Source organism: Homo sapiens, chromosome 5 (assembly GCF_000001405.40).
Source record: "Homo sapiens chromosome 5, GRCh38.p14 Primary Assembly".
Classification (NCBI taxonomy): Eukaryota; Metazoa; Chordata; class Mammalia; order Primates; family Hominidae; genus Homo; species Homo sapiens.
In genome coordinates, this window is record NC_000005.10 from 100782549 (window position 1) to 100797553 (window position 15005).

General features: G+C 40.8%; 1 annotated feature.

Annotated features, from left to right (window-relative positions):
• Positions 3422-3952: an enhancer, noted in NCBI's record as "NANOG hESC enhancer chr5:100121674-100122204 (GRCh37/hg19 assembly coordinates)". NCBI's record gives its function as "activates a minimal SCP1, AML or CMV promoter by ChIP-STARR-seq in naive H9 embryonic stem cells {active_cell/tissue: H9 hESC(naive)}" and the evidence as "EXISTENCE:reporter gene assay evidence [ECO:0000049][PMID:30033119]".

Consider the following 15005-nt stretch of genomic DNA (forward strand, 5'->3'; position numbering starts at 1 on the left):
AATACTGTGCTGAAAATGCTAATGATTATCTGAGCCTTCTGTGAGTCCTAATTTTTTACTTGGTGTGGGGGCCAGGGGAGGTCTTTACTCTGTGTTAATGACTTCTGATTCATCAGGGTGGTGGGTCCTGAAGGTTGGTTGTGGCTGTGGCAATTTCTTAAAATAAGGTAACAATAAATTTTGCCACATTTGACTCTTCCTTTCATGAACTATTTCTCATTAGCATGTGATGTAGCTTGGTAGCATTTTACCCAACAGTAGAACTTCTAAATTTAAAATTCAGAGTCAATCCTCTCTAAACCTGCCACTGCTTTATTGGCTAAATTTAAATAATAATCCAAATCCTTTGTTGTCATTTCAACAATGTTCCCAGTATCTTCACCGGGAGTAGACTGCATATTTGCTTTCTTTGCTCATCCATAAGAAGCAACTTCTCTTCTGTTAAAATATTATCAGGAGATTGTAGCAATTCAGTCACATCTTCAGGCCCCACTTTTAATTCTATTTCTTTTGCTATTTTCACCACATTTGCACTTACTTCCTCCATTCAAGTCTTGAACCCCTCAAAATCATTCATGAAAGTTTAAATCAACTTCTTTCAAACCCCTGTTAATGCTGATAATTTGACCTCCTATGAATCATGAATGTTCTTAATGACATCTAGAATGGTGAATCCTTTCCAGAAAGTTTTCAATTTGCTTTGCCCAAAGCCATCAGAGGAATCACTGTCTATGGAAGTTATAGGTTTACAAAATGTATTTCTTAACTAATAAAACTTGAAAGTCAAAATTACTGTTTGATTCACAGACTGTGGAATAGCTGTTGTGTTAGCAGCATAAAAACATTAATCTTGTACATCTCCATCAGAGCTCTTTGGTGACAAGACGAATTGTTAATGAGCAGTAATATGTATGACTTTTGAGACAAGGTCTTGTTCTGCTGCCCAGGTTGGAATACAATGACAAGATCACAACTCACTGCAGCCTCAAACTCCTGAGCTCAACCCATCGTCCTGTCTCATCCTGCCAAGTAGTTGGGACTACAGGCATGTGTCACTATGCCTGGCTAATTTTTAAAATTTTTCTTCTAGGGAAGGAGTCTCATTATGTTGCTCAGGCTGATCTTGAACTCCTTGGCTCAAATGATCCTCCCATGTCAGCCTCCTAAAATGCTATGATTATAGGTGTCAGCAGTAATATTTTGAAAGAATTTTTCACCCCTGAGCAGTAGTTCTCAATAGTGGGCTAAAAAATACTAGGAATCAAATCCAGCAGCATATCAAAAAGCTTATCCAACATGATCAAGTTGGCTTCATCCCAGGGATGCAAGGCTGGTTCCACATACACAAATCAATAAACGTAATCCATCACATAAACATAACCAATGACAAAAACCACATGATTATCTCCATAGTTGCAGAAAAGGCCTTCAACAAAATTCAACACCCCTTCATGCTAAAAACTCTCAATAAACTAGGTATTGATGGAAAATAATAAGAGCTATTTATGACAAACCCACAGCCAATATCATACTGAATGGGCAAAAACTGGAAACATTCCCTTTGAAAACTGGCACAAGACAAGGATGCCCTCTCTCACCACTCATATTCAACGTAGTATTGGAAGTTCTGGCCAGGGCAATCAAGCAAGAGAAAGAAATAAAAGGTATTCAAATAGGAAGAGAGGAAGTCCAATTGTTTCTGTTTGCAGATGACATGATTGTATATTTAGAAAACCCCATCGTCTCAGCCCAAAATCTCCTTAAGCTGATAAGAAACTTCAGCAAAGTCTCAGGATACAAAATCAATGTGCAAAAATCACAAGTATTCCTATACACCAATAATAGAGAGCCAAATCATGAGTGAACTCCCATTCACAATTACTACAAAGAGAATAAAATACCTAGGAATCCAACTTACAAGGGATGTGAAGGACCTCTTCGAGGAGAACTACAAAGCACTGCTCAAGGAAATAAGAGAGGGCACAAACAAATGGAAAAACATTCCAGGCTCATGGATAGGAAGAATCAATATCGTGAAAATGGCCATACTGCCCAAAGTAATTTATAGATTCAATGGTATCCCTATCAAGATACCATTGACTTTCTTCACAGAATTAGAAAAAACTTCTTTAAATTTCATATGGAACCAAAAAAGAGCCTGCATTGCCAAGACAATCCTAAGCCAAAAGAACAAAGCTGGATGCATCACACCACCTGACTTCAAACTATGCTACAAGGCTACAGTAACCAAAAGAGGATGGTACTGGTACCAAAACAGATATATAGACCAATGTAACGGAACAGAGGCTTCAGAAATAACACCACACGTCTGCAACCATCTGATCTTTGACAAACCTGGCAAAAACAAGAAATGGGGAAAGGATTCCCTGTTTAAAAAATGGAGTTGGGAAAACTGGCTAGCCATATGCAGAAAACTGAAACTGGACCCCTTCCTTACACCTTATGTAAAAATTAACTCAAGATGGATTACAGACTTAAACATAAGACCTAAAACCATAAAATCCCTAGAAGAAAACCTAGGCAACCAACCTACCTTCCTTCCTTCCTTCCCCTTCCTTCCTTCCTTCCTCTTCCTTCCTTCCTTCCTTCCTTCCTTCCTTCCTTCCTTCCTTCCTTCCTTCCGACGGTCTCCCTCTGTTGCTGAGGCTGGACAGTACTGCTGTGATCTTGGCTCGCTGCAACCTCCCTGCCTCGGGCTCCCATGATTCTCCTGCCTCTGCCTGCCGAGTGCCTGGGATTGCAGGCACGCGCCGCCATGCCTGACTGGTTTTTGTATTTTTGGTGGAGACGGGATTTCGCTGTGTTGGCCGGGCTGGTCTCCAGCTCCTGACCTGGAGTGATCTGCCTGCCTCGGCCTCCCAAGGTGCCAGGATTGCAGACAGAGTCTCGCTCACTTAGTGCTCAATGTTGCCCAGGCTGGAGTGCAGTGGCATGATCTCAGCTCGCTACAACCTCTACCTCCCAGCCGCCTGCCTTGGCCTCCCAAAGTGCTAAGATTATAGCCTCTGCCCGGCCGCCACCCTGTCTAGGAAGTGAGGAGCGTCTCTGCCTGGCTGCCCATCGTCTGGGATGTGAGGAGCCCCTCTGCCCGGCTGCCCCATCTGGGAAGTGAGGAGCACCTCTGCCCGGCCGCCACCCCATCTGGGAACTGAGGAGCGCCTCTGCCCGGCTGCCCCGTCTGAGAAGTGAGGAGCACCTCTGCCTGGCAGCCGCCCCATCTGGGAAGTGAGGAGCGCCTCTGCCCGGCCGCTCCGTCTGGGAGGTGAGGAGAGCCTCTGCCTGGCCGCTGTGCAATCTTCCAAGTGTGAAGTGACAGCCTTTCTGCAGGTGTACCCAACAGCTCCGAAGAGACAGCAACCATCGAGAACGGGCCATGATGACGATGGCGGTTTTGTCGAAAAGAAAAGAGGGAAGCGTGGGGAAAAGAAAGAGAGATCAGATTGTTACTGTGTCTGTGTAGAAAGAAGTAGACATAGGAGACTCCCTTTTGTTCTGTACTAAGAAAAATTCTTCTGCCTTGGGATGCTGTTAATCTATAACCTTACCCCCAACCCCATGCTCTCTGAAACATGTGCTGTGTCAACTCAGGGTTAAATGGATTAAGGGCAGTGCAAGATGTGCTTTGTTAAACAGATGCTTGAAGGCAGCATGCTCGTTAAGAGTCATCACCACTCCCTAATCTCAAGTACCCAGGGACACAAACACTGTGGAAGGCTGCAGGGACCTCTGCCTAGGAAAACCAGAGACCTTTGTTCATGTGTTTATCTGCTGACCTTCTCTCCACTATTATCCTATGAGCCTGCCACATCCCCCTCCTCTCCGAGAAACACCCAAGAATGATCAATAAATACTAAAAAAAAGAAAAAAAAGAAAAAAAAGAAAACCTAGGCAATACCATTCATGACATAGACATGGCCAAAGACATCATGATTAAAACACCATAAGCAATGGTAACAAAAGCCAAAATTGACAAATGGGATCTAATTAAACTAAAGAGCTTCTGCACAACAAAAGAAATTATCATCAGAGTGAACAGGCAACTTACAGAATGGGAGAAAATTTTTGCAATCTATCCATCTGACAAAGGGCTAATAACCAGAATCTACAAGGAACTTAAACAAATTTACAAGAAAAAAACAACCCCATCAAAAAGTGGGTGAAGGATATGAACAGACACTTCTCAAAAGAAGACGTTTATGTGGCCAACAAACATATGAAAAAGGCTCATCATCACTGGTCATTAGAGAAATGCAAATTAAAGCCACAATGAGATACCTTCTGATGCCAGTTAGAATGGCGATCATGAAAAAGTCAGGAAACAACAGATGCTGGAGAGGATGTGGAGAAATAGGAACACTTTTACACTGTTGGTGGGAGTGTAAATTAGTTCAACCATTGTGGAAGTCAGTGTGGTGATTCCTCAAGGATCTAGAACCAGAAATACCATTTGACCCAGCAATGCCATTACTGGGTATATACCCAAAGGATTATAAATCATTCTGCTATAAAGACACATGCACATGTATGTTTACTGTGGCACTGTTCACAATAGCAAAGACTTGGAACCAACTCAAATGCCCATTAATGATAGAGTGGATAAAGAAAATATGCCACATGTACACCATGGAGTACTATGCAGCCGTAAAAAAAGGATGTGTTCATGTCCTTTGCAGGGAGATGGATGAAGCTGGAAACCATCATTCTCAGGAAACACAAGAATAGAAAACCAAACACTCCATGTTCTCACTCATAAGTGGGAGTTTAACAATGAGAACCCATGGACACAGGGAGGTGAACATCACACACCAGGGCCACTTGGAGGGTTGGGGTCTCAGGGAGGGATAGCATTAGGAGAAATACCTAATGTAGATGACAGGTTGATGGGTGCAGCAAACCACCATGGCACGTGTATATCTATATAACAAACCTACACGTTCTGCACATGTATCCCAGAAGTTAAAGTATAATTTAAAAAAAATTAAAAAAAATATTTAGCAAACTGGCTGGGCACAGTGGCTCATACCTGTAATCCCAGCACTTTGGAAGAAGGTCGAGGCCAGCAGATTGCTGGAGCCCAGGAGTTCGAGCCTGGGCAAAACGGTAAAACCTCATCTCTACAAAAAAATACAAAAATTAGCTGAGTATGGTGATATGTGCCTGTAGTCTGAGCTACTCTGAAGGCTGAGGTAGGAGGATTACAGAGGTAGCAGTGAGCCAAGATCACACCACTACACTCTAGCCTGGGCAACAGAGCAAGACCTAGTTTCAAAAAAATAAAGAAAGAAAGAAATTAGTGAACCATGCTGTAAACAGATGTGCTGTAAGCAGATGTTCTGGCAACCAGACTTTGGTGCTCCATTTATAGAGCACAGGCAGAGTAGATGTAGCATCATTCTCAAGGGCCATAGGATTTTTAGAATGGTAAATGAGCACTGGCTTCAACTTTAAGTTACCAGCTGCATTTGATCCTAACAAGAAAGCCTGTTTTTTCAAACTTTGAAGCCAGGCATTGATTTCTCCTCTCTAACGATTAAAGTCCTGGATAGCACTTCTATCAATAGAATACTATTATATCTACACTGTAAAGCTGTTGTTTAGTATAGCTACCTTCATCAATTATTTTAGTAGGAGCTTCTGGATAACTTGCTGCAGCTTGTGTATCTGTACTTGTTACTTCATCTTGCACTTGTGTATTATAGAGATGGCTCTTTTCCTAAACCAACCTCTGCTATCTTCCATCTTTCCTTTGGCAGCTTCCTCACCTCTTTTATAGAGTTGAAAAGAGTTAGGGCCTTGTGTTGGATTAGGCTTTGACTTAAGGGAATGTTGTGGCTGGTTTGATCTTCTGTCCAGACCACACACACTTTCTCCCTATACTCAATAAAGCTGTTTTGCTTTCTTATCATTTATGTGTTCACTGAAGTAGCACTTTTAATTTCCTTCAGTAAATTTTCCTTTGCATTCATAACTTGGCTAATTGTTTGGTGCGTGAGACCTAGCTTTCAGCTTATCTTGGCTTTTGACATGCCTTCCTCATGCAGTTTAATCATTTGTAGCTTTTGATTTAGAGTGAAACACCTGAAACTCTTCTTTTCACTTCCACACTCAGAAGTCATTGTAGGGTTATTAACTGGCCTAATTTCAATATTGTTGTGGATCAGGGAATAGTGAAGCCAGAGTAGAGGAACAAAAGCTGGGGAACAACCGGTAAGTGGAGCAGTAAGAATATATACCACATCACAACATTTATCAACTAAGCTTGCTCTCTTACATGGTGCAGTTTTTGGTGCCTCAAAACAATTAGAATAGTTACATCAATGATCACTGATTACAAATCACCATAACAAATATAATGATAAGTTTGAAATATTGCAAGAATTGCCAAAATTTGATATAGAAACATGAAGTGAGTATATATTATTGGAAAAATGGTGCCCACAGGTTTATTCCATACAGGGTTGTCACCCACCTTCAGTTTGAAAAATAATTCAGTATCTCACAATGCAATAAAATGGAGTGGAACAAAATCAGATATACCTGTAATAAGCTTATAATTGACTTATTATAAACCTTTATAGGAGCTTAAGGAATACATGGATGCATGAGAAAATTTTTTTTTTTTTGAATACGGAATTGGTATGGAAAAAAAGTAGAGAGAAGAAATAATTCAAAAATTCATGAAAAGAGAAGAAAATTAAATGATGTGAGACAGAGACGAAAAGGTAAATAGGTCCCTTAGACCTGAAATAAATATTAATGATTGCATTTGAGGCTATTCGTCTTCTAGTTTTATTGATACCATTATCATAACAACAAATCTTTCTTTAGTTCAAATCCAGTGCTTTATTATACATTAATTTTAATCACAATTTGTATTTCCTACAGATTAAAGTATTTTAAAATATTAGAAATTAATTCATTTTAAAATGCTGTCAGGTTTTATATGTCATTCCAGGAAATATGTGGCCTCTTGGTTACCCCACCAGGGATAATCACACCCTTCCTATATGAGTGTTTGTTTTCTGACTTGACTCCATGCAGCAGAAGACCTTCTGCAAGGAACAGTCTAACCCTAAAGCATGGATAAGCAGTGTGTTCTAAGACATGTTGCCCACTGAAGGTAGGTTTTTCTCACTAAAATGACCTACTCAGGATCTCTCAGACTCTCAGGTGCTCTGAAGTATAGTTTTGAAATAGTAGGTGACATGCTGCTGCTCATTGTGTTTTCACACAATGCAGCCCTCGATCATGTTGTCACCTCACACTAACAGACTCAGATGGAGAGTACAATGACTTTTGCTGTGTTCTCAGAAATGAACAAAGACAATCACTCTGGGAGAGTCAGATCTTGAATTTTCTAACCTGATTGAGCAATATTTCACCCGGCTGCAAAGCTACCACATGCTACACACTTTCCAACTGCCTTTAGACTTGCTAAACGCATTTATAGAGTAGATCGAGCAGTAGAAAAAATATGGTAGATGAAACGAAGTCTTTTTTACACTGACCTTTTATTATTGTGTTATAAAAAACCCAGTCTCAAAATAGATTGAGGTAGATTTATCTTTTAATGAAAATCGCCAGGAGGTTTGAAGTCAAATATTCTTATCTTATTCTCATGCTCCAGTGCAGGACTCCTGTGCAGAGCTGACCTTGCAGTGCCATCCTAGAGGGAGCTATAATGATTACTGTGGACTGACTTACTTCATTTCAAAAGGGACACTTAAAAGAGACAATGAAGTCAGCATGCCTCCTTTAAGGTTCCATTGTCCAAGGTTGTGCCTGTCAGCTTTTCCGGAGAGGAAAGGACAGAAAAGTTCGGGGAGATTGGCTGCAGCAGAAAAGAGCAAGCTCTCAGGACATTATTAGAAAGGTGAACTTAACTGCTCCAGGGGCCACCTGTAGCACTGAGGTGGTGGCTTCAGTGGTTATGTTAACTGAAGGTGAGAGGTTGGGCTGGTCTGTCTGTATCTGAGACCTCAGACCACATTCCAGCTGCCAGGACACTGAACAGAACCCTGATGCCGCAGCTGCCAGGGCTCAGTACTACAGAGCACTGCAAATGCTTCTTCCTGCTGTCACTGCAGCCTCGCCACACCTGAAATGGGCTCTCAGAAACCTATTTAGTATGAGAATAATTTTACCAATTGCTTCTTGTCTTTGTTTTTCTTTTTACAGAAACCAGTGGGGAAATAATAATTTTGTGCTTCTTTTTGTTTTTGGTTCTTTCCTACAGAAATTTCAAAGGTCATAACAGAAAAGAGGGTGGAGTTAGTGTTGGGAGGAATGAACATCGAGATAAGAAAGAAAAGTAGACAAGGGAATAGTATTTAAGAAAAGATTGTTGTCAGTCAGCATTTCCACAAATATCTGTAAAAAGATCACACAAGGGAAATACAATAATGAGAATTTAATGTCAAAATAATTGTAATTTTATGCCTAAATGAGTCAACATGACAGAAGATTCTCTTAATCTTAATTAGAAATAGGTGGGGGCATTTCAGTTTTTTCCCACAAGCTGCATAGCTCCTGGCATAATCACTTTCCAAAACAATAGATAATAGAAAGACATGACTGCCGCATCATATGTTGTGGAGAACATAAACAGCATTGTGCTGATTTCTTAACTCCCTGAACTGGAGCAGCATCTCAATCTAGCTGGTAGTAATTAAAATTTCATCTATTGGAATGGAAGGTTTTACTTTTTACGTGTGTCATTGTATAATCACCTTACTGTGAATGAATTCCATGTGCAAATGGAAAAGTAAGCTTAAAGAACTGTTTTGTGTAAGTGCTTTTTATCCATACTCTTAAGTAAAAGTCTTAATGAAATTGTATGCTGCTTAGCTTTTTAAAGATTTTTGTAAATTGGTGAAACAAATATATCTGCAATATAGATATGCTTATCTAGGACTGACTTATTATGCTGAAATCTACCCCCTATCTCTTCTGCTGCCTTACTTCTTTTAATGATTTACATAACCACTTAGAATCCAGCCAGGGATGCCTGAATACGCTTGATTAAATTTTAACTGTTCTTCACTCACCAGAAACTTTGTCAGACTCTCCCTCAAAACCTACTGGAGCCTCCCTGAAAATGAATCCTGTCTGAACAAAAAGTTTCTCAGAAAACATTAAAAATAAATTTTCATTTGTCTTTCTTACCTTTTATTTTTCCTTACTCCACGACACCACTCTAACTTAAATTCAGTTGTGCCATGGAGATTATGTTCATAACTGGACCTGATTGAAAATGTTTACATGTATCCATGTTACTTGAAAACACAGGGAGAGCTTTCATAGTAAAAACTTAAGAACCATAATAATATAATTAAAGTTAGAAAAGAAACCAGCCAAAACCATCAGTGTGGACACTGGCTTGTATACATGTGTAAGCTGTGAAACGCAGCACACTTTCTGCCAATCTGAGAAGCATACTTCTCTTCTATCCTTTAGTAGAACACCTGGTAAAAAAGTTAGAAGATTTCTATGTCGAAAAGGTCTTTAGAGAAGCATATCTGACATTATGAAAAAAGAGAAAATAGGCTGCGCTAAGATAACCAAAATTTATTTTGCCTTATTTGTGTGGTAAAGTTCTGGAACCTAAGACCAGAAATTCTGTATTTGCTATTTATTGTTTTGTTTGATAAGGTGACTCATGATAAGTCAAACTGACTAGTTGGTACCATGAGGCCATTATAACCCTACATTAAAAGAATGAACAAGTGAATAAATTAATGATTCTTTGAATTTAATTTATGGTTGTGATCACAGTGTCAGAAATTTTTGAAAATACCAAGGGTGAGTCCAACATTTTTTAATTGAAAGCCTTAGATACATTTGGAATGAATGTTACCCTGAATTTCAATGTATAAAATTAGTAAGTTTAGTCATGGAGAATGGGCTTGTTGAATTAGATATGTTTTCCACTTTAATCCCTTTATCAACTTTCAAAATTATGGACTTGAATATCGTGGTTGTCCTGAGTCTTAAAATGTTTTGAAAATTTTTCTTTCTCTCAAAAACTAGTTTTTGAGCACCTATTATATATCAGATAATGCTTAAAATGCCAAGGATAATGCAGAGACTAAGATCAAGACTTCCTGCCTTCTCAAAACTAACATTCTAGTAAAGGAAAATAGCCAATGAATAAGAAGTAAGTAATGTATAGATATCCAATAGTGATGAGTGTTAGGGGAAAAAATAAAGCAAGAAAGGGAGGTGTGTTTAACTTTAATATAATGTAGCTAGGAAAGCCCACTGAGAATGTGAAGTATGAGGGAGGAAGATGAAGAAGAAGTGAGCCCTGAGATATCCACGAGTAGAAGGAATACTGAGGAGAGAGTGCATCAGGACAAAGGCTCTGAGGCAGAACCGTGACTGACATGTCAGAACAGCAGGGAAACCAGTGGACTGGAGGGGAAGGAGAAGAGCAGCATGTGAGTGAGTCAGAGTGCTGCAAATTCTGTTGGACCAATCTAGGACTGAATTTATGTCTGGGTGAGGTGAGAAAGGGGATAATTTACCTTAAAAATTTTCACTACTTTGATATATACATTTTCTGTTAATATTAAGATTCATTTGACAGCTACTCTTTCGAGCATTTCAAAACAAGACTAATCCCAGAAGCTTCAGCTTCTTCCCTGAGCCAAGAACGAGGGGTTTTATTTGTCACATAACAGTCCATACTGTCAAAATGCATTGAAGAGTATGAACATTTCGTGAAGAGCATGGGAATGAAAACAATGATGTATGTGAGGTCTAAATTGGACTCAGAAGACCTAGATGTGTTTCTCATCTTGACAATCATTCTGAAAATTTCAAGGTGGGCTCATTTGTGCAGTAGGCTGATGACAAGAGTAGGGTAAAGAAGAGTGTGAAGCCCAATATCTATGTGACCATCTAGGTATTTTTTTTCCCACAGTCAGAACTGGGGTTTGCCAACTGGAGTCTGACTCTTGAGGAAAATCTAGAGACCAAGGAGAGGGAGTACTAGCTTAGCAGCAATAGCTCAGACAAGAAGACCAGTACTTCCTGCCCACTGAGCCTTAGAAGTCTAGATTTTATAACTATGCACTGGTGGGGCCCCTGTGTTCTGATGCAGCTACAAGGTCAGTATAGACAAGTGATGGTGGCCACCCATTAGGAGCAGCCAGTTGCAGCGGGGGAGTCACAGCCAGGGCTGTTTGCTCCATGGAGTCAATGGGGCAGGAGCCCCACCCCCTACTGAGTTGGTGGGGTGGGATTTCTACATTCCCTAGTGCAGCTGCAGCCACCCAGAGGCAACTCTGGACCCGGGCATCCCTGCACTTTTGGGGTCCTGGGAAGCCCTACTTCCCCAATAGTCTTGGAAGTGCCTGCTCCCACTCTTCCCTGCTCCTGCTCCAATTTCAGAGCAAAGCGGAGGCTGAGCCCAGGTGCTGTCACAACCCAGCCAGATGTGTACACATTCAGGGTGCCCTGACACTCCATGGCCCTGCTGCTTCAGCCTGCTTTGGACTTTGGGTGCCAATGAGCATGGAAGAGAGGCCAAAGGGACACTGAGGGCAGCTTGGCAGGGCCTGTAGGCACCCCTTAGCATGAACAGCCTGGGCACCATGGATGGCATGTTTATGGCAGCAGGAGAAAGACAGTATCCTGGGTTGAAAGGAACAGGTCCCTGGTGAAGCCCCATGGTCAAGCCAGGGAAGACTCGAAGCCTGGGGCCCAGGCTGCCAGTAGTGGGTGGAGTCCATGGCCCAGAGTGAGAACTTGTGGTGTTTTTCCAGGCCCACACATGGCTGCCCATGGAACAATCAGCAGGCACTTCCTCACTTCTGAGCCCATAAAAACCCCAGACTCAGCCAGACTCCAACAAATGGGACTACCAGCTGTGGGAAAAAGCTACCCACTTCAGGTCTCCTGGACTCATCAGGATGACCTGCCCTTAGAAAGGAGCTACCCGGTGTGGGTCTTCTGAGAGCTGTTCTGTCGCTCAATAAAGCTCCTCTCTACCTTGCTCATCCTGCAGGTGTCCACATACTTCATTCTTCCTGGACACAGGATAAGGATTCGGGACCCACTGAATGGTGGGACTGAAAGAGCTGTAACACAAACAGGGCTGAAACATCCCCTCAACCCTGATTTTCTATGCTTCAGGCAATGAGAAGGAGAGAAGTGCTGAGGCTTCTCTGGGAACCCAGAATTCTGGGATCCCCAACCTAAGTCTGTGACACCCTCTTTGGGGCTCTGCATTTCCTGGCATCTCTGAGTTTTCAGGCACCATTGTGTTCCCCTTGACCAGATGCTGGTGCCCACAACAGAAGCCTCTTGTGGTATGTCTACTCTACCTTCAGTCTCGCACAGAACCAACAGCTGTGCCAGCACCTGGAGCTGCCTGCCCTGCCACAGCCAGTGTGCCTGGCTGTGCGCAGTGGCCAGACCTTGCATTCGTTCACCCATCCCTTGCCACTCTGCACCTGGCTAGCCCTTGGCAGGTGTGGGATCCAGGCTGATAGTGCAAGCTGAGTGCAGCCTGCAAGACCAAGTGGGTGGGATGAGCCCAGTGGGCCTGAGCAAAACTTGGGCATAGGTGCCACTGGACACAGAGGTTTCCACCTGGAAAAGTGACACCCTAAGGATCCCGAGACATAAGCAGTACTCTGATTTCAGAGGTGTTAAAATATATGTGCTTTGAAATCAATTGAAACACAGTAATTAAATAATTCATTCATCTAATAGTATCAAGGACCTACTGTGTGCTAGGTACTGTGAGAGGCCTCTAGTAATAACAGGTTGAACTGATAAAATAAAACATGTCTCTATCATTTTGATAGTTTTATGAAATCAATAGACAATTAAACAAGTAGTAATAATAAAATTTGGATGGTGCTGTGATGGGGGAATGTAGATTGATGATTGAACTAAGACCCAAGTGATATAGATACTAACCAGATAATATGTAGTGAAAATGGGGTAGCATATACTCTAATTGAAAGAAATAAACCAGAGATAATAGAAAGAGGACAATGTACATAGGAAACTAACAAAATATAGTATGGCTAGAATATACCGTTTGGCCCTGATGGGGCCCAGGAAGTGCTACCCCAAAATATGTTATATTGGTATTTGACAATATAGAAGCAGAAGGAAGGTCACTCTCACCTTCCCCTTGAACTTCTTCCCTGAAGCTGACCACAAAATCCAGGAAGGCCATTCTCTGACTTTCTCTTACCATTTCCCCTGTGGCAGGTTATAAAACCTTTATTTAAAAGGTACCCTCCTATACCTAGAAATAAGGAACATTCTTATCTCTGAAGACACAGAAAAACACAGATAAGAATCCAAACAGTCCTTTCTAAGATTCCCCCAGTTTAACACTATTGGTTCATGCCCCATTTGTCCAATCATACTTCCCCATCACTGCCCACTCTTTATTAAACCTAAGCATAAAAACACATAGGTTTCCCTGTTTCTTTCTGGCTTCATTTTCTTATGAAGCCTCCTGTGTCATGTGAAACATATATTAAAGAAATTAATATGCTTTTCTCTTATTTATCTGCTTTTTGTTAAAGGGGTCTCAGCCATGACCTAATAATGGGTGAGAAAAATAATTCTTTCTTTTCCCTACAGCCTTTGAAGTTTAAGCATCAAGAAATGTGATTAAAGAGACACACAAAAAAGAAGTTCTTGAAGGGTTGATGAGCAAAGATTAACAGAAAAGTACATTTAGATCCATAAAAGCTGTCATTTAATACACTAAGAGTCCAAATCACCCTGAGTGCATCTTCTCCTTGAGATACCCTGCTTCCTTTGGAGAAAATGGAATTACGTGTTTGTGGTGAGAGAAAATGTTTACCTAGAGAATCAACCTGTAATTAACAGAACTTTTTGACTTGAGACATACAGGTGTGCACATGGAATGCATCTTGACACATGCAGAGAAACTGGCTTTACATCTGGAAAGCTGAGGGCAGGATATTATTGAAAGATTCTTTCATTTGAGTATCCCAACCAAAATAATTTTAAAATTTATATTCATAAAATGCAATACAAAATAGTAGTGAAAATGTATCAAATAGTGCTACATGTATCAACATCAATATGGCCTACAAACATCCACTTTTATTGAGCTTAAAGCCATGCAAAATGAACTACATATCATTTAATAATGTAAACATGTGGTAAAATTATTACAGAAAACCAAGGATTCTGTGTTCTATTTTGTTATGAATAAATGTTAATGTACATGTTAAGTTTTCTGTATTCTAGTTGTTATGAGAAACTAGTTCTTTTACACTATTCCCAATATCTAGTACACTCAGCACGTCACACAATTCTTCTCACTGCTAAGATTATTTTCTATTAATCATGGCATCTTATCATACCTAAGTGTCAGACTCTATGAAGGTATTATTACTCTCTCCAGTTAACAGATGACGAAAATCAGAAATTTCTCAGCAAATGAGTAAAGGAGCTAGGACCAGACCAGGCCTGTAGCCCTGGGGCTCTTTCCTGTATAGATGTAACCTGATTGTTGACTGTGACGGTCCCTCCACAATTTATCAAAGAAGGAATGTTTTGGGCTGTCCTGTCCAAGTCAATAGTCATTAGTCCTATGTTGCTCTTGAACACATTAAATGTGGCTCAGGAGAATCCAGGAATTCAATAAGTTGAGAAGCATCAGCTCATGTGTCAGACTCATATTTTTTTCCCAACCAGGGTCCTGATTTTGACATAACAAGCTCCCTTGGTTAACAGTTTTACCTTCTTTGGAGGTGGGCTACTCTGTCATTCTTATAATTAGGTTTTGGTCCTGGTCCTCCGCCATCTATGCCTTCCCACTGCAGAAGAAGAATGTGTTTGTGTGAGCTCTCAAAGAATCCTTTTATCGTTCCTATGACTTTTAAAATGCCTATTAATTGGAAGTATCTTTTCCTAGAGCATCAATTATTGTGCTTAACAAGAGTCATTCAATCCTATTGTTCTTATAATCACTATTTTCC